General features: G+C 40.6%; 1 protein-coding gene across 5 annotated transcripts in view; it reads left to right on the plus strand.

The window, feature by feature from the left end:
- The window catches only part of DPP6 (dipeptidyl peptidase like 6), a 1146153-nt gene continuing 1121818 nt past the window's right edge, over positions 999-25333 (plus strand). Inside the window, exons 1-2 of one of the 5 annotated variants that reach the window (NM_001364500.2) lie at positions 999-1282; positions 1621-1874. In NM_001364500.2, the coding sequence (NP_001351429.1) occupies positions 1815-1874 (60 nt within the window). In that variant the 5' untranslated portion in view covers positions 999-1282; positions 1621-1814. Of the gene's footprint in view, positions 1875-25333 lie in introns of all 5 variants that reach the window. The other 4 variants (NM_001364499.2, NM_001364497.2, NM_001364498.2 and 1 more) reach the window with 4 other exon arrangements.

Genomic DNA, 25333 nt, shown 5'->3' on the forward strand with positions numbered 1-25333 from the left:
GATTATTCCAACTTGGAATTGGGAACATTAAAGAAATGACCATGAATATCAGCAAATAACGGAAGAACTAAAATAAATCTCCCTTTTACTTTTAAATGGACAATGTAAGGGGATGTACTTTTTTTTTTTTTTTTTTTTTTGGAGACGGAGTCTCTCTCTGTCGCCCAGGCTGGAGTGCAGTGGTGCCATCTCGGCTCACTGCAAGCTCCGCCTCCCGGGTTCACGCCATTCTCTCGCCTCAGCCTCCCGAGTAGCTAGGACTACCGGCACCCGCCACCACGCCTGGCTAATTTTGTTTTTGTATTTTTAGTAGAGACGGGGTTTCACTGTGTTAGCCAGGATGGTCTCGATCTCCTGACCTCATGATCTGCCCTCCTCGGCTTCCCAAAGTGCTGGGATTACAGGCATGAGCCACCGTGCCCGGCCAAGGGGATGTACTTCTGTTACCAAGCCAACGCACTTGAGGAAGAAAGTTCAGCTCTGGTCCTCATAAATTAGTCTAACTTCTTCCTTCAATTTATACAGGCTAAAACCAAGATTTTGGGATGGTGAAATAGAAACCAAATTATGTGGTTTGATTCCCATTCAGAATATTCAAACTCAACTATATCTGCCTGGATAAAATTTAACATTTTGTCAAATAATATGGCTGTATTCTAACGTGCCCTTGGTCCCCTGTTCAGACTTGTGATCCTAGAATGTTGCAATGCAGTCTTCATGAAGCAGCTGCTCTTTTTTGACTGATTTTTCCTGGTTCCCTGGGGTCAATTTCTTTTCACCTGTGTCTAAATGCCGACTAATTAGATCATGACTTCACAGGTGCCAAAAGAAAAAGAAAGAAAGAAAGAAAAACTCTTGGGAAGCTGCAGAGACTTCTATTGCAGAAAGGAATGGATGTACTCTGTTGCCCTTCCCCAAATACCGCCCTGGTCAAGCCAATTGGGCCGCCAACCAATGGCACCGACCGGGCCTCCGCGCGCAGCGCCTGCCCAATTGACAGAGCGCTCGCATCCCTCAGCTGTAGCTCGTGCAGCCTGTGCTAACGAGCCCGGGTGCCGTCCCAGCTCCTCCTCCGCCCACTCCACTGTCTCTCTTTCGCCTGTGCAGTGGTTCCTGGCAAAACCTCTTATGCCACCTCCCGACCATCCCGGGAAGATTTGGCGGCTGGAGCCCTGCGCAGGAGCTGTAGGCAAGAGTGGGCGCCAGTCCCTCCTTAACCCCTGCTGGGTGGGTGGGGTGCCGGAGTCCGCACTGATGACCGCTCCAGCCTGAGCTTTTGAGGGTGAGGGGGGTGTGGAAAGATCCGCCCTGGAGCGAGCGCGCACCCGTGGGCTCCTTGCAGCGGTGGCTCTGCCTGGTGGCGCGAGGGCGTGAGTGCGCGCGACTCCCTGGCTTTCGCGGGTTTCCCCACCCCTTGCGCAGGAAAGAGCCTAGTCCTGCGTCCCCCTGGCTCTCCCCACACACACCTCCTTGGAGCTCCTTTTGGGTTTGCTCCCGCTTCTGGTCTTGAGCGTCCTGAACTGTTTCCCGGGGAGGCAGCACTGGGCAGAGCGCCCTCGGAGCCGCTGGCGCCGGCCCGGCTTCCCTCCGGGGTCCCAGCAGCTGCTTCTCCTTCTCCAGCTCTGGGCTGCGGATTTTACCGCCCCTGCACAGAAGCCTGCAGCGTGGAGGCTCCCCTCGCGCTCGCCCAGACTCGGCTGCAGAAGGAGGACCCACCTCGCGTCTCCCCCGAGGCGCGCACCTCTGTCGCCACCCTCCACGCGCCTAGGAAGTTTTGAAGGTAGAGAATCTGGGCCCCTCAACTTCCTCTGGACATGAATCAAACCGCAGGAGTCTCCAATAGCGTCAGGTGTCCCCCGGGGAAAGGCCACAAGGTAAGGGACCAGCGACGGAGGGGGCTTGTGCGGGGGCGTGGGGCGCAGATGGAGGCTACAGTTGGCCGGAGAGTGGAGACTCCGGCAGGTTTGTGGAGGGAGTGTGAGCAGCCGCTGGTGCGTCTGCATGCCTTGCAGGGGTCGGTGACTGAGGATGGTTGGCGGATCGCGGGGGTTGAGAGAACGTGTGCTGTTTTGTAGACCCGCGGCCAGCAGCAGGGCTCTGCCCGTGCATCCGCTCCCGCCGGCCACCCTGGGGCTGGAGATCCTACCCTGCTTTGCGGCTGGGCTGGCAGGTGCAGCTGTTTCCCATGATTGCGAGGCTTTCGGGAGAAGAGGTCGGCGTTGGGAGGCAGAGCCCCTCCCCCTTTCACAATCAGACCCCCCTGGGCCAGAGCTTGCAGAGGAGCTCTTTCCCGGGAAGCGCGCGCGGGGCTCTCCCGCGGGCGCTGGCGCTGGCTGCTGTCACGGACACGTGCTTCATTAACTTTAATGGAGCGATGCGTGCCTGGAATTATTTCCAGGAAATTAGTGACGTTCAGAGAAAGGGGAGTGGGCGGCGGCCTAAGGAATTCTGGCAGAACCTCACTAGCAGCCCAGAGTGTGAGGGACTTGGGAAACGTTTACTCCCACGCGCAAAAAACCCAGATCGCCAGCGAGGTTCCGGATTTCGCACGGATCCTGTGGGGCCCGGCCACCCTTGGCCATGCTCAATACGCCTCACCTGTCTGCCATTCCGCTTAGGTTGTGATGAATTAGCGAGGAAATTCCTTACCCGGGTTACATAGGGAAGCCGCACAGCAATGCATGTAACAATGAACTTTAAAATATTTTCGAATATTTATATATTTTTTTAAATCGAAAAAAGGCGAGCACTGTGGAGCTTAGTCCTTGATATGCAGACTGAATTTATGCTTTACTCTGTCATCTTATTTTCGACACCTATTTTTGTGTGTACACTTTATGTAAGGGCATATATGTTTATTAGCTCTTATTGGAAAAATATTCCCATTAAAATCTACTTGTTGGGGTTTGGGGCATGTATTAGCCCACAATATCAACTCCAAACACTATCTACTTGTTCGGAGTTGAAGTGAGTAATGATATTGGATTCACTTGGCAGATAAAGGAATTCTTGTTCTGTTTGAGTTATGTAAGATGAGGATTTAAGGTTGAATGCTTTTATTCAACTGAGTAAGTAATATCGAGCATTTTCTTCTATCAGATCATGAAGAAATATTTGAATCAGCAAGTCATTTCTCTGATCTCTGTTCTCACTATGATTTGAGTAGTTATATGTTTCACATTTACATTACTTAATATCTACAGGAAATGTATTTTAATACAGAGTAGTTGATATAAAATTTTTCAATTAAAAATAAAGTTTCACCCATCAGTGATAATATAGTAGAGACATCTGTGGAGTTCAGAAGATCATTCAGGAATTTTCTTTAAGAAATGTCTTTGGCTCCAGTATTAAAGTGGCTTCTTGGAAGAATTGGACTGTAGAGTATTGCCACCAATAAAACTTTCTGGAAAGTGTTGGAACACACACCAACAATTTAAAAGGTACTAGGAAACCTGTTAATCATGAGTTAGGGATCACCTTACATACCTATCAGGTGTCCAACAAATACTTGCTCCAATGAATCATATTAATTCAATAGTCATCAATCATCCATTTAATAAACATGGTAAACCCCTATTAAGTTCCAATAATATGAGAACGGAGAGCCGCAATATGAACTTAGACATTGCCTTCACTGTCCAACATGCAGTTCTAGTCATACCCTATCCTTCCTTCTTTAAAATCTTTGATGGCCTAAAGTGAGATGATGGTGAAATCCATTAGCTAGAAGGAAAAAAAATATTCAGTTCCTTTTCTCAAAGAAGAACACACTTAAGTTGTTGTTTGCCTGTAAAGTTTGCAGCTTTGGAGTTTGTCTTGTAGGTTGCTGTGGTGCGATAACATGAGAGACTGAAATGATTGGAGGTGACGTGTTGGTGAAAGTTCTGTAGTGGATGAGGGATGAGCTGGTAGCAGGAGTCAACAGTCAACACTGGGAAGTGCTGGATGGACCATGTGACATTTAGGTCACAGTATTTTTCCAATAAAATATAAAACTCAACAATGTCAGTTTAGTAGATGTTTTGGAACAGTTGTTTTTCCATCGTATATATAGCATATACGACTTTGGTGGAAGGAAAGGCATCAGCCTCTTAGGAAAATATTCCAGCTGGACTCACTTTTGTTTGGTCTCATTCATTTACTGATTACTGGTGTAGCAATTTACACTTGGCAAATTCTTATCATTTGTTCTTGTGCAGATATTTCTTGAGCAACATTGGTTGTCTCTTTTAGATGGTTATTCACCTTTTAGATGTGTTAGCCTTCTTTTAGATGTGTTATTTATTGCTAGGTTCATTCTTGCCTATTGAAGCCCTAGAATTTGGAAAGAAGAGGTCCTTGTTGCAGCCTCCTTTCTCCTGAGCATGGGGGCACCTGACCACCTGCTAACAGCTGCTGAGGATCACAGGGTAATCCACCACACTGTTGGCCCCAGTAGAGGCAGGAGCCACTGGTCCTGAGAGGAAACCTCCTGAAGTGATAGTCCTCTGGAATTGGCTCCTGGAAACTTGTAAGTGGTATTCACTCTTGAGCAAAGAATACAAACTTAAGTTTTACAGAAGATGTAAACTACCAACATAAGACTGTTCAACTTTAGCTTTGGAAGATGGCACTCACCTTCTGAGCAGAAAGTAAGGACACCCAGTTGAGTAGTTAACTCCAGCCAAAGTAGGGCCTCTCCTTTCAGCCTCAGGTTTGAAGAGAAAGCAAAGGTTTGGATTGAGTTTCTTTGCTTAGAGCTTTTCTGAAAGGGAAATTTCCTTGTATCAGTATGTATTACGTTAGACATCAAGACAAGTATTATCAGTGCTTCAGTCTCTGGAAGCAGCAGACATAGCTGTCCAAAACTTGGACTTTGGGATCCTAAGGTACCAGTGTCATTTTGGATAAGTTGCTTAACCTCCATGCCTAAGTTTTATAGGACCTTCATGGTAGGAGTTTCATGAGGATTCAATAAACTAATCCATGTGTGGGGCTCGCAGCAGGACCTGCCACACAAGATGAGGCATTACTTTACCTTTGAGCACCCAAATCAGGGAGGACAAGGCAACTTCACTTTAAAACCCTTTTTATTAAGGGGGAGCATGTGCTTTATAAATATTTGTACCACAGCCTCTTTTTTTTTTTTTTTGAGACCGAGTCTCGCTCTGTTGCCAGGCTAGAGTGCAGTGGCATGATCTTGGCTCACTGCATCCTCCACCTCCCAGGTTCAAGCGATTCTCCTGCCTCAGTCTCCTAAGTAGCTAGGATTACAGGTGCGCACCACCACACCCAGGTAATTTTTGTATTTTTAGTAGAGATGGGGTTTGCCATGTTGGTCAGGCTGGTCTCAAACTCCTGGCCTAAAGCAATCCACCCACCTGGGCCTCCCAAATTGCTGGGATTACAGGCGTGAGCCACCATGCCCGGCCAACAGCCTCTTTTTACATGGTCGCCTCTCATAGGCACACAGCTCCTCAGGAGCAGGTCCCAGAGGGTATGAGTAGGATGGGATAATTGTTAGAGTATGGGCTTTGCAGTGAGACAAATGGTAACTTGGTAAAGATCACACAAATAGAGCTGGGCATGGCATGGTGGTATGTGCCTGAGGTCCTATCTACTCAGGAGGCTAGTGTGAGAAGATCATTGAAGTTGGAATCCAGTCTCGGCAACACAGTAAGATGGCATCTCTAACCCTCACCCCCACAACCCCAGAAAAAAATCACACAAGTAGAAAGTAACAAATGCAGGACATAATTTAATTTATTTTTACACATCTGGAAAAGGGGAATATAATGTATGCATTATCTCATATAATTGTTAAGAAAATCCCCATGTAACAGTTTGCATATAGTAAGCATTTATTACATGACAAAGCTTCACATCAAGCATGGATATAGGTCCTGGTAATAATTCTTTGTATTACTTATATTATAATTTGAGACCCCATTTTATCTAAAATTCTTCGCTCTATCTGATGTTGTAATTGTTTATATTTCATATCTGTTTTCTCTTTTCTCTGCTTTCAAGAGTATCTCCTTATCTTTGATTTTCCATGTTTGGTGACTTGTATGTGACTAGCCATGGGTTCTTTTATATTTATCCTGCTAGGAGTTCACTAAGCATCTTGAATCTTTAATTCTTTCACCATATTTGGGGATTTTGTACCATTATTTTCAAAAATATTTTTACATTTTATTCTTTCTTGGGATGACAATTGTATATATATTACACAATATACAGATTACATATTATGGCCTACAAATGCATATAGCATTTACACCATTTGATAATTAGGATCAATATAACAGATTCCATGAGCACTTTTTCCAGCTTGTAAGATTCCTTTCCTAGCCATTTTTGCCAACAAGGAATCTAGCTCCACCAGGTCCGAAAAAACTCTCAATTCAGAAACATACTTAAAGAGTAATCGTTTTGTCTGAGGGTAGAGATCAAAAGTCTCTGCTTCCTATTTGTGAAGGTGGATATTTAACATTCTAGTTTTCGTTCTCATTCCACCTTTGTCTCCAAAGCCAAAAGGGATGAGTTATTAGTCCATGAACCTCAACGGATTCTTTGCAATGAAGAGTAGATGCAAAACTTTGGCTCTGTGGATTTCAATCTGAACTCAACTAACGAAATCCCTTCAGGATCAAGGACTCACTTGGTGCCTCTCTGATGAATGCAGTGATTAATAATCGTAATATCTCCTGTTTACCCATTTGCGCTCCTAGAATGTGGCAAGAAGTCAATCCTTATTCATCATTTGGCACCATTTTCTGGTGAGGAACATCGTATTCTACCAATGAATTACTAAAATGTTGGTGTTTCTTCTCAAGGTTTTCATGCTGTGAAAAAGCTGATGAAGTGTTTGCATTTTGAAGTTGCTTATGATCCATGAAGAGTGTCAGCCTCTACCCACAGGAGTTTGCTGACTTTTGCCAGCTCTAGGTATTACACTTTGTGGAAATTTAATAGCCTTCTTACCTTCTACTTCTAGTGTTTATTTTACCACAAGGACAGGGATAGCAAAGCTTGTATGTCTGTCATTTTCCTTTTAGGACATTAAAAAAAAGGATTAATCAGCTAAAACCATTTTGATTCAATAGAAATGCATTTTTTTTTGTGTGTGAAATACTACTCATGAATCCCACCTACATTTTTACTTTGATTTCATCCTTAAAGGATATATTTTCCTGGATGTAAAATTCTGAGTTGACAGAATTTTTACTTCTTTTTCAGCACTTTAAAGATGGCATTCCACTGAGTTCTAGAATGAGTTTTTTCTACTGAGAAGTGAAGTCATTTGATTCATAGTTCCCTGTATGTACTGTATTATTTTTCTTTGTCTGCATTTAAGATTTTTCTTTGGTTTTCAATATTTCAATACTATGTGCCTAGGCATGATTTTCTTCATATTTATTACCGTAGTGGGTGCAAAGATCACCTTGAATCTTTAAATGCACCATCTTTGGGAATTTGGTGGCCATTATCTTGTCAAACTTTTTTTCGGTCCTATTCTTAATTTGTTGAGATGACAATTATGTATGTTTTATACAGCTTATATTGCTTTACAGGTCTCTGAGGCTCATCATTTTTCCAAGATACTTTTCTCTCTCTTTTTCAGATTTAATTTCTGTGGTTCCATCTTCACATTTAATGAGTCTCTCCTCTGTGTTCTGCATTCTGTGGTTTGTGTGCTTAGCTCCGGATATTGCATTTTCAAATTCTAAAATGTCCACTTAGTTCTTTCTCCATAATTTCTATTTTCTGCTTGGATTGTTTTTTTTTTTAATTCACCGTGAGTATCTTTGCTGTTTAATAAATGAGGAGTCTTCTTATAATACTTTAAAACTCTTGTATGATAATTCTAACATCTGAGCCTTCTTAGAATTGGTCTGTGTTGACTGTATTTTCTTCTCGAAATTGGACCACAGTTTAAAATGTCCTTGTATGTTGAGTGATTTTGAATTTTATCTTGGGCATCATGCTTGTTGTGGAAACTCTGCATTCTGTTTTGTTTCTCTGATGATTTGTTTTTCATTTTAATGAACACTTAAGTTGGATGGCAACTCAAATACAAGTTTTGTTCTTTTATCCTCTTGTAGCCCATTCAGCACCTGCATGACTCAGGGGACAACTAGAGATTTGGAGGCTGCCTAGTTTTCTTAATTCTGGAATCCCTTTTCACTTTCCAAGTGAGTCCTCTTCAAGACTTTAAATCTTTGTGAAGCTTTCTTGTTGACCTTCACTCAGTCTCTTTTTTATTTTCTGTCAGTTCTTTCTCTACTCTTCTTTCATTTTCCCAGTGTTACATTTTCCAAAACTCACATTTTGATAAACTATCACTTGTCAAATCTGAAAAATCTGAAGGTTTTCATGCCCTCCCTTTTTTGTCTTCTCATAAGAAGCAAAACCTACTTTAATGCTCTCCCTTTGCCAAAATACCTCCTGTCTCCTTTTCTATTCTTTCCTGCCCCTTTTGGTTTAGATCCATAGACCTTCCCCCTTCTGGGGCATTTCATCCTATTTCCGAACTTTTCCTCAGTCTATCCTGCTTAGGAATTGAGCAGCCTCCTCCTCCTCTTCATGGCTTAAAGAATTTCCCTCCTGGATTTTAGCACTGATTCCCTTTCTGTGCTTTCCACTTTCCAAGTGAGTCCTCTTCAAGACTTTATATCTTTGTGAAGCTTTGTTATTGACCTTCACTCAGTCTCTTTTTTATTTTCTCTTCTCTTTCTGTAGGAAGCCCTCCCTCTAAATGATTAGATCAGCCACTGACTCACAGGCTATGGGACATGGCAAACTCATGCAAGGCTTATGGCGTTTCACCAGTTGCTGCCATAACAGCAGGTCCTTTTCCTGCCCCTTTTCTTTTCTCACACACTTGGCTTCAGAACCACCATCTATGGACATGAGTATATCACAGAACCAGAGTCCTGCTAAGAAGGGAATTTTTTTTTAATAACTCATGGTTGCAGGTACCATTCTCCAGCTTGATTTTGGACTTGAATCAGACCCTCCCACCTACTCTGATCCCTACACCTCCCTGTTCCTGAGCCTGTAGTTCTTTCTGAATTCCCAGGTTCCCTCATCCTGACCATTGGTATCTGTCGTTTTCCACATAGTGTCTAGTTCCTCCTATGCTGGAGAATCTTTCATCCCTAATATAACATATTTAAAATTAGGATCTAACTTTAGAGGTAATTTCATTTAGTCCTCTCATTTCAAAAAACTGAGATCCAACAAAACGCAGTTAATGAGAGAGCCAGGGCTCAAACCCCCACTGCCTGATTCTAGGTTTTGGCACATTCCATTATACGAGGCTGTTTTGTGGTTCATCTTCTCCATCTGAGCACGCAGTGAAGGGCCACATCTGATAGACACTTGGGCATCATGAAGGTTAGTGAGTCAGCCTGAAGGACACTTCACTAACACTTGCTGTTAGCAAGGGCATGTCTAGTTCATAACTTTTCTTATCCACCATTGCTCTTCATTCTGAAAAGAAAGCTTAGTTGTCTAATTGGTAATTTCTGGAAGAAATAAGAAAGAGTACCCGTGTAAATATAAATAAATAAATTCTTTTTATCACCCAAAACTTAAATCATCCCCAAGTATTTCAGAAAGTTTAATATAATGGATAGAACATAAATTACTTTTATGACTTCCAGGATATTACTGAAAATCTATTTATGTTATTTTGGCTTTACATTTTATTGATTTTTAAAATTTTAATTGTCCTCATTTTATCAGTAAAATACATAAAATGAATCTAAGCTCATACATAAGTTAAGTTTCCAGGAATAGAGGGCAGTAAATGAGTAGTAACTGTTTTTTCTGGTTTTATTTGTTGGATTTTTTTTAAGTCAAAAGTTATACCTCAAATGCAGTATTTCAATTATCTTACACCTTGTACCTCATGAAGGAAATAGAGTGATTGGAATTTTATAGGACCCTCAAATCTAATATTTTTATTACAGTCCCAGCAATATGGATTTAGTCAAAAGAGATGGAGGAAGTTATGTAATTTCTTGTGCATGCCCTCCCTCATCTTTAGGGCTTTAGAAAGTTTGTATTATTTTCCTATTATGGAGACATAATGTGTCTGTTCTTTCAGTGTCTGTATCTTCCTTTTTATGAAAATTTCAAATGCAATATTAAGAGATCATAAGGCATTTAGGCATTATGAGACATTTTAAAATTACATCTGACAAAATGTGCGCACAGCAGAACAAGTTCATATTTTTCATTTTGTTTTTCATAAACCAAAAAAGCTGACAATTCACTGGGGCCTCGTGGAAACTTCTTAACTGTGTGACTTCATACAGAAAAGCTCATCCAGTGGCGGATGGTTTACTGAGGTAGAGTGGAAGGAGGGAAACGGAATCAGTAGACTCGATCTTAGCATTGGTTGAGTGGGGCACCTGTTTTGTGTCAGGTGGGTGGGCACCGCTCTCTGGGCCTTTGTTCACCTGTGTGAAAGCTGAGGACATTCAACCAGCCTTCAGGGTCACGTCAAGCTCCAACTTCACAATATTCCAAGCCTAGAAAGAACCATGGGCCGGGCACGGTGGTTCACACATGTAATCCTAGCACTTTGGGAGGCCGAGGTAGGTGGATCATTTGAGTCCACGAGTTCAAGATGAGCTTGGCCAACATGGCGAAACCCCATCTCTACTAAAATACAAAAATTAGCCAGGCACGGTGTGGTGCATGCCTGTAGTCCCAACTACTCTGGAGGCTGAGGCAGGAGAATCGCTTGAACCCAGGAGGTAGAGGTTGCAGTGAGCCAAGATCGTGCCACTGCACTCCAGCCTGGGTGACAGAATGAGATGTTGTCTCAAAAAATGTAAAGAAGAAAGAAAGAACCATAGGCAGAGTGTTTGCTATTATTAAGGCATCCATTGGCATAGATATCAAAAACTATCCCATAGTAAAACATACTTAATGGAGAACCTAGGCCAGTAGATGTCCTTTAGACTTCAGTGTAAAAATTATGACCTCCAGCAAGTCCTTTAGGGAAAGGGTGCCTTATAGTTGCTAGGCTAGTCTTTTCAGGGACTCTTAATTGGTGTTTGTCATATTTAGTGAGTAAGTACTAAACTCATTGCATAAAGTTATAAATTATTGAAGTCAGCTAAGTCAAGAGATGGTGTCTTAAAAGCAGGACAAAAGAAGATTATTACCTCTTTTGTTCTTGAAAAAGATATTGCAAACACTGGATACCATGTTTAATAAGTACATTGAGGTATAGTTGACTGTGCATATTTAGAATGTACGGTTTAATAAGTATTGACGTGTGCACATGTGCATACCCGTGAAAACGCCACGGTCAAGGCAATGAGCATATGTGCCATTCCCAGAAGGTGCCTCATGCTCCCTTGTGATCTGTTTCTCCCTAACAATTCCACTACCTTTTTCCATCCGTAAGGAAAACCGATCTTTTTTTTCTGTTACTATATATTACTTTCCATTTTCTAACATTTTAGATAATGGAATTATTAAAGTAGGTGGTCTTTTATAGTCTGACAACTTTCACTAAGTATAATTATGTTGAGATTTATTCATGTTGCAGCATGTATCAATAGTTATTTATTTGTTGCCAAGTAATACTTGATTGTATGCCTATACCATGGTTTGTGTATCTATTCACATGTTGATGGACATCTGTGTTACTTCAAATTTTGGGCTATTACCAAAAAAGCTTTTATAAACATTTATGTACAAGTTTTTATATGGACATATGCTTACACTTCACTTAGGTAGGGTAAATACCTAAGAGTGGAACAGCAAGATCATACAGTAGGCATATGTTCAACTTTTTAAGAAACTGTTAAATTATTTTCCAGAGTCATTTTAGAATTTTATATTTCTACCTGCAGCTTCTGAGGCTTCCGGTTCCCCCAAATCCTTGCCCACACTCAAGATAATCAGTCTTCAATATGAGCCATTTAAATAAGTGTTTAGTGGCATATTGGTGCAGTTTAAATTTGTATTTTGCAATGGCTGATGATGTTAAGCATTTTACAGATGCTTATTTCCATCCACATATCCTCTTGGCTAAAGGGTTTCTGAAAATCCCTGACATATTTTTGATTGGGTTACTTGGTTTCTACTGAGTTGAGAGTTTTTCATAAATGTCTTTATCAGCTATATATTTGCAAAGTTTCTTCCAGTCTATAGGGGTATATAGTCTATAAATAAATCTTTTTTTTTTTTTGAGACCCAGTCTCGCTCTGTCACCCAGGCTGGAGTGCAGTGGCCCAATCTCGGCCCACTGCAACTTCCACCTCCTGGGCTCAAGCGATCCTGAAACTGCCTCAGCCTCTCTAGTAGCTGGGACTACAGGCACGCACCACCACACCCAGCTAATTTTGTGTGTGTGTGTGTATTTTTAGTAGAGGTGGGGTTTCACCATGTTGGCAAGGCTGGTCTCAAACTCCTATCTTCAGGTGAACTGCCTGCCTTGGCCTCCGAAGTGCTGGGGTTACAGCTGTGAGCCACCATGCCCAGCCAACAATGACTTTTGAAGATGCTTGCAATGTGGATAACCATATGTGAAAAAAAGAACTTTGATATATCCTAACACCATATGAAAATATTAACTCGAAATGGATCATAAATAAAAATGTTCAATCTAAAACTAGAAAAATTCTAGAAGAAAACATAAAATACCTTTAAGTTAGGCAAGTGCTTTTTAAGTATCTATGAGTTTATCCTTTTCATCAAATTTGGAAATCTGGGGGCACTATTTCTGCAAATATTTCCCTGCTTCCACTTCTCTCTCTCTCTGTTTCTGTCTCTCTCTCTCTCTCTCTGTTTCTGTCTCTCTCTCTGTCTCTCTCTGTTTCTGTATCTCTCTCTCTCTCTCTCTCTCTCTATCTGTATGTGAGTGAGTGTGTTCTCTGTCAGGGGTTTCAAGTGCATGTATATTAGGCTGCTTGAAGTTTTAACATATCTCAATGATGCTTTGCTCATTTTTAAATTTATCTTTTCCCTGGGTTTTATTTTGGATTATTTTTATTCTTATGTCTTCAAGTTCATTAATATTACCTTCTGCAATAACTAGTTTGTTGTGAATCCCACCCAGTGTATTTTTTGTTGTGCGCAGTATCCATTTCCTCTCTAGGATTTCAATTTGGGTCTTTTTAATGTTGTCCATGTCTTCATTGAACATTTTGCACATATGGAATTCAGCTGTAATAATTGTTTTAATGTCCACGTCCACTAATGTTAAAAGTTGCAGCAGCTCTGGGTCAATTTCAATTGATCAAATGCCATCCTTGAATGAGATTTGTATTGTTTTGCTTCTCTGCAAGCCTGGTAATTTTTGATTGGATGCCAGATATTGTGAATTTTATCTTGTACATGCTGGATATTCGAATATTCCTAAACCTACTTCAGAGCTATTTTTCTGGTACTCAGTTAAGGCCCCTGGAAATAATCTGATTCCTTCAGGTCTAGCTTTAAAGATTTACTGGGTGGAAATGTAATATTAATTATAATTAACTATGATTATAATTATCCCTATGCTCAGTTTTAGGGCTAATTATCCCCACTACAAAAATAGGGCCCTTTTGCGTATTCTATGAAATGTCCATGAATCATGAGATTGTTTGAGAGTGGCTTATCTGAGCACGTACTATTTTCTGTCCTGTGTGAGTGTCAGGGCACCACTGCCTCCAATACTTCCAGGTTATTCTTTCCCCAACCTTGGAGAGTTTCTCTCATGCGTGCCCTGTTCTGTACTCAGCTAATTTTCAGGGGGCCCTCAGCAGATCTCCAAAGCTCTCTTTCCGTGTTGCTTGCTCCTCTTTCAGACCCTTTAGCGCAAACTGTAGCTGCCTTGTTCTCCCCAGACTCTCAGCTCCATCTGTTTAGCTCAGAGTCTCCTGGGCCCCACCTAGGTTGTCCATCATCCGCTTTAGTCTGAAAACTCTCTAAGGCAGTAAGCTCGGGATAAATGGGACTCTCCTCATTTACTCCCCATCTATCAGAAATCAGTGTCCTTCTTCGCTTTCTTTGATATCCAGTGTCTCGAAATATGTTGTTTCCTATGTTTGTACAAGATTTATTTGTTTCAGGCAGGAGGATTCATCCATTTCCTGTTTCTCTATTTTGACTAGAAGTGAAAATCTCTGGGAAAATTTGTTAGTACATACCTTTTGATTTTAGAAATCATGACTTTAAAATAAAATGGGCCTAAAATGTATGAGAAATTTTAAATTAGGCTAAATTTTATGCTGAATATATTGAATAAGTTAAATATAACTAAGACAAACCCATACTCTGCATATCTGACATGAATTATTTGAGGTCTGAAGACTGGAAGACACTATGAAATGAAAAGCTTGTCAACAATTTGACATTTCTTTCTCCATGCTTCCACTTTTCCAAACTTTTTCATGAATGTCACCTTATTTCATCTTGCAACAGCCACTGAGGTAAATAGGTAAGTATTTATCTCCCCTTTTTTTTGACTGAGGAAATTGTGCTACACAGTTACGTGTGTATCACTTATGGTCAAAAGCTAATAAAATCAAGAAATGTTTTCAAACTAAAAATGTATAAATATTGAATACTATTCAATCTTTTATTCAGCAAGCATCGATCCATGCTTCCTTCAACCCACGTTATCTATTAATTTATCCAATGCCGAATACTATTTCTATACTTCATAAGCATTGGACTCCTTGCTATTATTCCTTTAAAAATAACTAAGAAACTATTATTTTTATTAATGAGTCCGTGTGTGCACAAACAAGGCAGAAAACAACAGAATAAAATACCCAGGGACACTGAAAAGGAATAAATCCAAATTGTAGCATTTTGGTTGGTCAGGGGAAAGAGTGGTCAGTGTGGTTTAGGTAGGAAAGGCTTGCCAAAGATAATGGGACTTATTGCTTACTCTTCTAGTTACATGTCCTGCAGTCATAGAAATATGCAGACTAAAGTCCGTGTAAAAAACATTTTCCGCTTCCCCACATGATAACTGTAATCCTTTGCAACTCAAGGGCCCTATAGGGTTTTAATAGACAGTTATTACATAACATTTTCTATGTTTACTTCTGTTAATTTGTATTTGTAACCACGGAGAATAGATTCTAATTCCCTGCAATACAGGAACTCTGAAGCTTTACTTCCCCTTTACAATGGTCAAAAGCCTGAGAAATCATAAAGAGCAACATGATATGAAAAAATAAAAACAATAAAGCAACTTTTAATATCTTCTTCCATCCTATGTAGGCTTTTGTAGTGGTGCAACATTCCTTACTTAACCTATTCATCAACTGCCAATTGGACATCTGTGTAATACAGGTGTTATTCATTGCTTCCCAGGCCACTTATCTTCTAAGGGATTAAGACTCTACCCGCCTGGCGCGGTGGCTCACGCCTATAATTCCAGCACTTTGGGAGGCCAAGGCGTGTGGATCACCTGAGGTCAGGAATTCGAGACCAGCCTGACCAACATGGAGAAACCCTGTCTCTACTAAAAATACAAAAAAAAAAAAAATTATCTGGGCATGGTGGTGCATGCCTGTAATCCTAGCTACTCAGGAGGCTGAGGCAAGGGAATCGCTTGACCCCGGGAGGTGGAGGTTGCGGTGAGCCAAAATCGTGCCATTTCATGCCAGCTTGGGCAACAGGAGCGAAACTCCATCTCAAAAAAAATAATAATAAAATAAAATAAACCCCACCCACAGTCTCTTCTCTCCTATTTGAAACACAGGACTCTGTCTCCTCCTAGATACACACCAAGGTTGAACAAGCACTCCTAGGGGAATAAAGCCACTAGTTGAGCCATGCCAATCAAATCCTCTCTTTTGGAAACTTGAACAAAGACATAGAGATTACAATGAGAATTTGAAGGACGCTGTATAAGATACTAGACTGACAGCCGTGCATGGTCATGAGCAGCCCAGGGATGACCACTGGGAGAAGAGAAGGCGGAGAGCAGCAGAGATCACAGAAATCATGAGGCCCTGAAAAGTGAAGATCCCGCCCTCACTTTCTCACTTTCCTGATGCAGTCATGTGAAATTTGTCTTTACTTCCATTTATTTCCTTTCCAACTCTCAGTGTTCTGAAATGTACCATTACGTAAAAGTGACAGAAAATGAAGAAAAACCATTAATTCCTAGTGGGATTTCCCATTTTTACTCTCACTCGCCATTACCACCAAATAAAACTGTTTTTGTTGAGCAAACTTTTCTATAAGCCTCTTTGCATTCTTACTTTGCATCCCAGGAGGTACAAGTAAGAAAAAAAAAAAAAAAAAGGTCTTCTGAATTCTTCTGAATTATTTTCTAAGTAGAAGTGGGAGTGATGGCTATTTTCCAGGTTAGTATTGGTTAGAGCTCACCAGAACTGAATTTGTCAGAAAAATAGAGGGTATCTATGAGGCTTTGTGGCGAGAGACAAAAGGGAACAAGGAAAAAAAGATGTTGCTGGCAGCCAGGAGATATACTTTGGGGAGAAGAATGGAAGTGTTACTGTATTGTATCTTGCTTTTTTAGAAAAGTGTGAATAGAAATCTTCTGGGTTTACTAATGTGTTATAGAGCTGGATTTGGGCGTTTTGTGGCAATTGGAGTTGCGTAGTTTACGTAACATTGAGCAGAGGTGCAAGATGGGAGAGACAAGAGCTCAGACTGCCCAACGGGTCTCAGAAAATGTAGGTTACATCCATAATACATTTGTTTGTTGTTTTTATTTGAGCTACTTTGTATAGGCATCTATTTTCTTGCAATCAAATAAGCTCTAACGAAAATGATGTGTAATGTACAAAGTACCTTAGCAGCTTCAATAAGCATTAGACATGATCTCCACCCTTTCATGAATTCACCTGTGTTATATGGGTAAGTTAGACTCCAGGAACAATCATAAAACAGCCTTATTCTTTTCTCCAGCTGTCCCTTTAGAACAAAACTCTGTCTAGTTCTAAACAGAATCACACTGATTTTTGAAGATAACATAGCTTTTTTTCTGGCTCTTTTGCATCACAAATAGTATCATTTACAAAATTAAAATGCCCGGCCTAGTCTAATATAACATTATTAGCTTCAGGATTCATTCAGAGAGAAACTTTTCCTCTCTCTGAGCTTGAGTGGCTGTGGGTCTGGAAACCTGCACTGGGGAAGGGAAGACAGGAGGCCCTTCTCTTGGCCCCCTTCCTGGTATGTTCCTTGCTCCTCTTCTGCACTCGCTAGTCCTCCCTGGCCTGTTCCTTGCTCCTCCTCTGCACTCAGCAGTCCTCCCTGGCATGTTCCTTGCTCCTCCTCTGCACTCGCCGGTCCTCCCTGGCATGTTCCTCGCTCCTCCTCTGCACTCGCCAGTCTTAATTTCTCACTTCTCCAAGGTTGGGTTCAGGGGGAGGAGGGATGAGAGAAAGGATACAGCGTCACATGGTGGTTATGGATCTCATCTGGTGATGGGTCTCTCTGGATGTGACAAATACACAAAGCCGCACTTTTTCTCATGGGGAGCTTTTGGAGAGCTTCTTTGGAGACCCTCACATAGAATGTTGGAAGATGGCTTTTAGCCTTTTCTCTCACTGTGATGCCTTCACACATCCTCACACTTCCTGTCTTTACCCTCTTCTGGTCCTTTGGCTCTATTGGGTGGAGTTCCTTACAAAATGGCTCTTGGGATTCCCCCATGTAGTTCACTTCTGGCTTATGAGAAACACCCACATTTTCCCACCATCACCAGAACCGACACAGCTTGCTTCCAATACAGTCCCCTCTCTTCACATGGGGCTGCCTGAGATTTTTCCAGGTGGGGTCTAGGTAGCATTGCTTATGCTTGAAAGACTCTCTGTTCTCCAAAGCACCCGTTTCAGGCTCTGTGACGCCGAATGGCTCTGTGACACCTTCTCCTTTGGCTTGTGCTGAGAGGAAACCTGTACTTTCCTTTTCCTGACCCAGTTGCACAGCCCTTAGTCCCTTCTTCCTCCACCCAAAAGATGAGGGTGCCAGATAATTCCACTCACTCTCTATTTGGAGGTTTCCTGTGGATTATTGTAAATGTGCGCTAACCAATTTCATACCCTTTATTATTTTTTAAATAATGTAACAGGTCACCTTGGGCTGCAGGGACACTTGGCAACCATTTTTACAGCTTTTAACTTTTGGTGCCCGGGCCGGGTGTGGTGTGGTGGCCCATGCCTGTAATCCCAGCACTTTGGGAGGCCAAGGCAGGTGGATCACCTGAGGTCAAGAGTTCGAGACCAGCCTGGCCAATATGGTGAAACCTGTCTCTACTAAAAATACAAAAAATTAGCCAGGCATGGTGGCGGGCACCTGTAATCCCTGCTACTTGGAAGGCTGAGGCAGGAGAATCCCTTGAACCAGGGAGGTGGAGGTTGCAGTGAGCCAAGATCATGCCACTGCACTCCAGCCTGGGCAAGAAGAGCAAAACTTCATGTAAAAAAACAAAAAAAAAAAACAGAAAAAAACACCTAGGTAGTTGATGATGTATGTAAATTGTCAGTGCTATCTACATTCAGGGGGTATATCAGGAGGATGTATTTTGGTTTATGTGATTTTAAAAGGATTCACGGCAGAGTTGAGGTTTCAGCAGAGTAGTGGAGGACACAGCTTCTTATTTGAGACTTTGTTTTACCTAAAAAACACATGTCGCCTCACCAAAGTGGAAAAATCTCATTTTCTTTACACACCGTACTGCAATTGCTTGTGTACTCATGCTTATGGAAAGAGGGAACCCTTGAATGACTTATCCTTTTCACAATAAAATCCTCCCCCTGTTGCAATGCTTCTTCTCAAACATCAGTGTCCACACAAACCATCTTGGTGTTCTTGTTAAAATGTGGATTCTGATTGAGTAGGTCTAGGGTGGAGCCCAAGATTCTGCATTTCTTACAAAGCTCCCAAATGGTGCTGATGCTGCTGGTCCTATGACCACATTTTGAGTGGTAAGGCTCCACTGCTTTTGCTGAGTCATATGTAATGTACTAAATAATACATTTTGTCATTTATGATTGACAAATCAGTCGAAGCCTTTCATTTCGTGAAAACGGTCTTAGTGGTAGTTTGCACATAACAGCCTCTCATTTCTTTGAACTGGGGTTAGACATTTTGGTGCCATTCATTTGGAAAGGAGACTTGAAATAGGAACAAAGAGAATGAGGTTCCCGTTGTCAGCTGTGCTATCGACTTTTGCTATGTGGCCATTAACAAGCTTTATCATCTCCAAACTTTAGCCACTTGCATTGAGTTTTTGTATTAAGTAGTCTCCAGAGGTCTAGCCAATACCAACGTTCTATTTCTAGATATATTTTATGTTTATCTTATCTACTCAGCTATATCATTAAAAAGTTGGGAACTAAGTTTTTGTTTGTGCCTGTATTTTCCTTTCTGGAACAAACAATAGAACCTTGCCATTAAACATGCTCAATAAATGTTTATTAATGATGATGCTGCAGAGCTTTGACAGTGAAGATACAAGAGTGACTCTAATAAAGAATCCATGAGTTTTTTTTAATCTAGCAAATTTATATTGCTGAATGACATTTACTTACTAAAATTCAAAATAATAAATTCAATAATATTCACACATGCTGAGTTTCTCATCCCTGACTTTAGGGTAATAGAGGCAACCTCGCTAGAATCAAATAGTAACAGTAAAAAAGAGCTACAATCTGTATCATTATAAAAACAATAAAAGTTTTTTAAAAAAACAAGCAAAAACCGAAATATATTTCCTGGCTCACACATTTTAGTGATTCTGTATCAATGAAACGTCTTCTTCTCTTTAAGGTATACCATCCATGTCACAAGCCACATAATAATTTGAAAAAATCAGTGACTGAGCTATGAGTTACCATTCTATGGGGTTGTGGGTTGTGGGGCCCTAAGTTGAGGAAAGTCAAGAAAAAGATTGATGGAAAAGGCAGAATGACCTAGTTAGTCTTTAAATGATGTGTTATTACAAACAAGGAAATGTCACTATAACATTTACTAGCTAGAAAAGAAGGAAGTCAGGGGTGAAAAGTAAATGGTGTGTGAAGCCCAGAAATTCCTCCTTGATTATCCAAGTGATGCTGTGAGGCAAACGCTTCCACTTACCAAGAAGAGCAGAAAAATGTCCACTTTCCTTCTACCAGTTACATTATAGCTCTTATTTTAAGAGACAAATTGTGTAAAATGCTACAATAAATGCAATTTTGATGATAAGGACAGAACATTCAAATCTAAAACTTATGTGTTAGCCAACTTTCAAAAAAGTGAGAAACTTTTTGTTGTTGTTGTTGTTGTTGGATTCACTCTTGTCGCTCAGACTGGAGTACAGTGGTACAATCTCGGCTCACTGCAACCTCTGTCTCCCAGGTTCAAGTGATTCTCCTGCCTCAGCCTCCTGAGTAGCTGGGATTACAGGTGCCTACCATAACACCCGGTTAATTTTTTTTTTTTTTTTGTATTTTTACTAGAGACAAGGTTTCACCGTGTTAGCCAGGCTGGTCTTGAACTCCTGACCTCAGGTGATCCACCCTCCTCAGCCTCCCAAAGTGCTGGGATTATAGCCATAAGCCACTGTGCCCAGCCTAAAAAAAAGTGAGAAACTTTTAAATGTGTGTATCACATATTGTGGGAAACATTGATGTCTTATTCTGGACAAGAATAGCTCAAATGCCACACATTTTTAAATGTGCATCATTCCACATTGGAGTTTCTTTGCAGCACTATTGTGTTGAGGGCTCTGTATGTATCCATTGTGTTGTGTTTTATAAAATGAATACCTGGAACGGATGTGTCCCCGTGGCAGGTGGGGCAGCACCTGGGTGGTGAAGAAAGTGGGGTGAGTCAAAATTGAGACAAGCATGAGGTCTTTTAAGAACTTGAAAAGTATTTCAATATCTGAAATAGAAGGCTCACTGTTAGAAAATTGATAATGGAACTAGGGTTGCAGACAAAAAAGTGTTTGAATCTAGGTGTAGAATTCTCATCCCCAGAGGGAATAAGCTAGAAAGTTAGTTCATGATCAATAAACCAACATCTAGACAATATGAAGATAGAGTTTAAAATAAATAATGTACATTTACTGTGGAAAGGGAATTTTTAATTTTCTATTGTTAAGTACAGCAACCTGGGAAAAGAAAAAGAAGTTCTTGATGGTAATTAGGAAAGAAAAAGAAAAAGGTTTATCCATGGATTAAAGGAGAGGGTACCATATGCCAGAAACATATAATATTTTATCTCACTTAACCGTCTCAGTAATCTCAGGAAGTGCATTTGTAAGGAGAACTCAGAGATATTAAGTAACTTGCCTAAGATCACGAGGTTCCTTTGTATGTCTGTTCGTTCACATGTAGGCATGAGATCAGCTTTAGTATTATACTACCAAAGAGTTTTTCAAGGCAGTTGTGCTGGTTTATATAAGGGCTTCAACACTTGATGTTATCACCTTTCTGGATGTGGGGCTTCAAGTGAGGTTATGGAGGTATCTCAGTGTGGTTTTGCTGTACGTTTTCTTGATGACTAGTGAATATTAAACACTTATGCTTATTGGCCATGTATATTGTCTTCAAATCTTTTGCTTGTTTTATTTTTAGCTCAGTTATCTGTCTTTTGAAAAAATGATTTTTAAATATATTTTGAAAAGAGTTCTTTGTCAGATATATGCATTGCAGTGTATTTACCACCTATGACTACTTTTTCAGTCTCTTAATGGTCACTTTTGTGGTTAAAAGCTCTTAATTTTAATAAAGACAATTTTAACAACAACAAATTCAGACCTGGGCTTAACACCCAAATTCTATGAATCTAATAGGTTAATTCTAACACCAAACTGAATAGTAAATAGTGAAAAGGAAGTAAATTAATCAAAATGTCCACTTAGCAATTTGGTCGCCAGTTAAATTGGCCTTTGAGTAAATAAGGTTCTTCTTCATTATCGGAATGGTACCATACAGTAGAATTGTCTTCCTAGAAATTATGGCTCTGATTTACTTGCTGAAAGATCATTGATTTTCATAGGTTGGTCTTGTACCCATTGATCTCAAAGCTTTCTAATTAGCTGTAATTATGAGTTTTTGCTGATTTTGTACATGAGATTGTGGTGTCCACAAATGATAACAGTTATATCTTACTTCCTGTACCTTGTTGTTCCTGTTTATTTTTTCTTATGTTCTTTATATTGTGTATATTTAAGGTATACAAGGTGATATTTTGATATATGCATACATTGTGAAATAATAGCAATCAAGCTAATTAATACATCTGTCACCTCACACAATCTTGGTCAGGACCTCCAGTACTATGTTAAACAGTAGTGTTTCCAGTGAAAGTTACTCAATATTCTAGCATAGTTGGGACACATAATGGTGTGATTTACTAACATAGGGAAGAAAGAGAAAGGAATAGTTTGGAGGAAAATGTAATCATCCCTGTGATAGGACCAAGTAAAGACAGTAGGGAGCTGGCCATGAATGTCTCTAGCTCTGGAAAGGGGTAATTCTAGGAGATTTAAACTTGGGAATCATCAACTGACAAGCATTAACTTAAACTGTGAGGTTACTTTCCAGTTTCTGCTCAGGAAGAGCTGGAGGGTTACACCCAACTTTAAAACAGGAGAAAAAAAGCCAGAAGTGTGAGCTCCTCACTTTTTTTTAAATCCACTAAAGAGAAGATATTGCAGGACAACCAAGTAATCCAAATCTAAGAAGAGATAAAAGACTACAGGCTGAAATAGGGTTTGAACACACTTGCTTAGTTGATTCAGATCAAGTCAGACGTCAATAGGCAGGACTCAGCTGGAATAACAGGTGAATTGGTAGAGGTCAAGTGTGGGTTGGTGAGGGACAGTGGAGTCCCTGGGGGCTGCTTCTATGCGGAGAAGGCAGGGTTCATATTCTCTTGAAGACTTTTTCTTTGTGAATCCAGGCATTCACAGGGAAGCCTGGGAAGAGTGCAGAGAAAACTTTCTCAAAGATGCTGCCTGAGGGAGGGGAGAACCAGCCTCTGCAGTGGAGATGCTGGACTCAGCCTGGACTCTACTGCCCCGTGTCCATGAAGGAATAAAAAGTCTTAATCTGCCGTGGGAAAGAGAACAAAAGCTGTCACCCTCAGGCCGAGATGAATACTCATTGCAACTGGTGTATGAAAATGGGAAAACTCATCTATCCCAGAGAATCAGCAGTAATATATTCTAGGCTCAGAACCACAGCAGTCAGAGGAGAAGGGGCACTCCTCAAAGCCACACTCCCAAGACCAAAGAACATAGTCCCTGGCTGAAGCCGAGGACAAAGAAGAACAAAGAACAAAGAAGAATATCCTAAACCCAAGGTACTGATAAATCTGAGGCCAGTGGTACACTCAACATAAATAAACAATAACGAATCCCAAACCCAGCCCAAGACCTAACTAGATTAAAACAAACTTCCACAAGAAAGGCCAAGGAGAAGGAAAAAAAAAGCCAATTTCCAAGCACAAAACTGTTTACCTCACTCTCTACTATTCTACAGGAGATGTTCAGCTATCAACAAATAAGGATGAGGAATATGGAAAGGCAAGAGACAAAGCAATCAAAAGAACCACTTAGACACAGACCTGTCTAACAGATAATTTAAAATAACTATGACTATGTTAAAGGCATGAATGGAAAAGGTGAACAGCATGTAAGACCAAATGGGCTATTGCAGCAACTCAAGACAGGAATCAATGGAAATGCTAAAAATAAAAATGAATATAAATGTGGATAAAATACACTTTTGACATGCTCACCAGTAGATTAAAAACCATTAATAAATATAAAGATGGATTAATAGAATTTTTACAAAATGAACCAGATATAACTAAAGCAAAAATAAAAGGAACAGAGCATCCATGAGTTATGGTACAATGTAAAATGGCTTAACATAGGCATTATTGAAACCCCAAAAGTATGATAGAGATTTGAGGAGAAGAAATGTTTGAAGAAATATTGGCTAAGAGTTAATTAGAATTAATTGGTCCAAAATTAATTAGAAAAACCACACCATGGATCTGAGAAGTTCAAGAATACTCTATAAATAAATGCCAATATAAGTGCATTTGTGTACACAGACACACACACATACCATGTTCAATTGCTGAAGAACAAAATATGAGAAGGTCCCAAAGGCACCCACAGGGAAAAGAAAGACACAAGAGGGGAACAAAGATAAGAATTATAGCAGACTTTTTGTCAGAAATCATGCAAGACGAAGACAATGAAGTGAAATGAAATTATTATTATTATTTTTTTGAGATGGAGTCTCACTCTGCCTCCCAGGCTGGAGTGCAATGGCACGATCTGGCCTCACTGTAACCTCTGCCTCCCAGGTTCAAGTGATTCTCCTGCCTCAGCCTCCCAAGTAGCTGGTATTACAGGCATGTGCCACCACGCCTGACTAATTTTTGTATTTTTAGTAGAGACAAGGTTTCACCATGTTGGCCAGGCTGGTCTCTAACTCCTGAGCTGAAGTGATCCACCTGCCTCGGCCTCCCAAAGTGCTGGGGTTACAGGCATGAGCTACCACACCTGGCCCCCCTGAAGTGATCTTTTTGAAAGGCTGGAAAGAAAAGAGTCAACACAGAATTTTATACAGAGGGAAAATATCTTTCAAAAATGAAGGAGAAATAAAGACTTTGTTAGACAAAAAGTGAGAAAATGTATTGCCAATAGACCTACATAGCAAGAAATTTTAAGAGAAAAAACATATTAAAAGAATTCCTTGAGGCAGAAGGAATATGGTACCAGAAAGAAACTTATATCTACACAATGAAACAAAGAATATTTAAAAAGAAACAAAGGAAAATAAAATTAGTTTTTTATACCTAATTGCTCCAAAAGATAACTGATTTTTTCAAGCAAAAATTTTAGCTCTATAGTGTATTTATAGCATGGTTAAAAGGTATCTATGGTGTAGGGATCTTATAACAGTACGTTCCCAGTTCCTCCTTCACAGCATACATTGTTGTGATCCTTACACTTCACAGGAAGTATATATAAATACAGTCTCACTCTGTTGCCCGGGCTGGAGTCTAGTGGCACGATCTTGGCTCACTGCAACCTCCACTTCCTGGACTGAAACAATTCTCCTGCCTCAGCCTCCTGAGTAGCTGGGATTACAGGCACGCACCATCACGCTGGGCTAATTTTTGTGTTTTTAGTACAGATGGTGTTTCACCATGTTGGCCAGGCTGGTCTTGAACTCCTGGCCTCAGGTCATCTGCCTGCCTTGGCCTTCCAAAGTGCTGGGATTACAGGTGTGAGGCACCACGCCCCGCTGGGAGAATAATGTTATTTAAAGTTAGATGTTGATTAATTAATAATGCATATTGTAAACCTTAGGGCAACCACCAATAAAATGTG

Source organism: Homo sapiens, chromosome 7 (genome assembly GCF_000001405.40).
Source record: "Homo sapiens chromosome 7, GRCh38.p14 Primary Assembly".
NCBI lineage: Eukaryota > Metazoa > Chordata > Mammalia > Primates > Hominidae > Homo > Homo sapiens.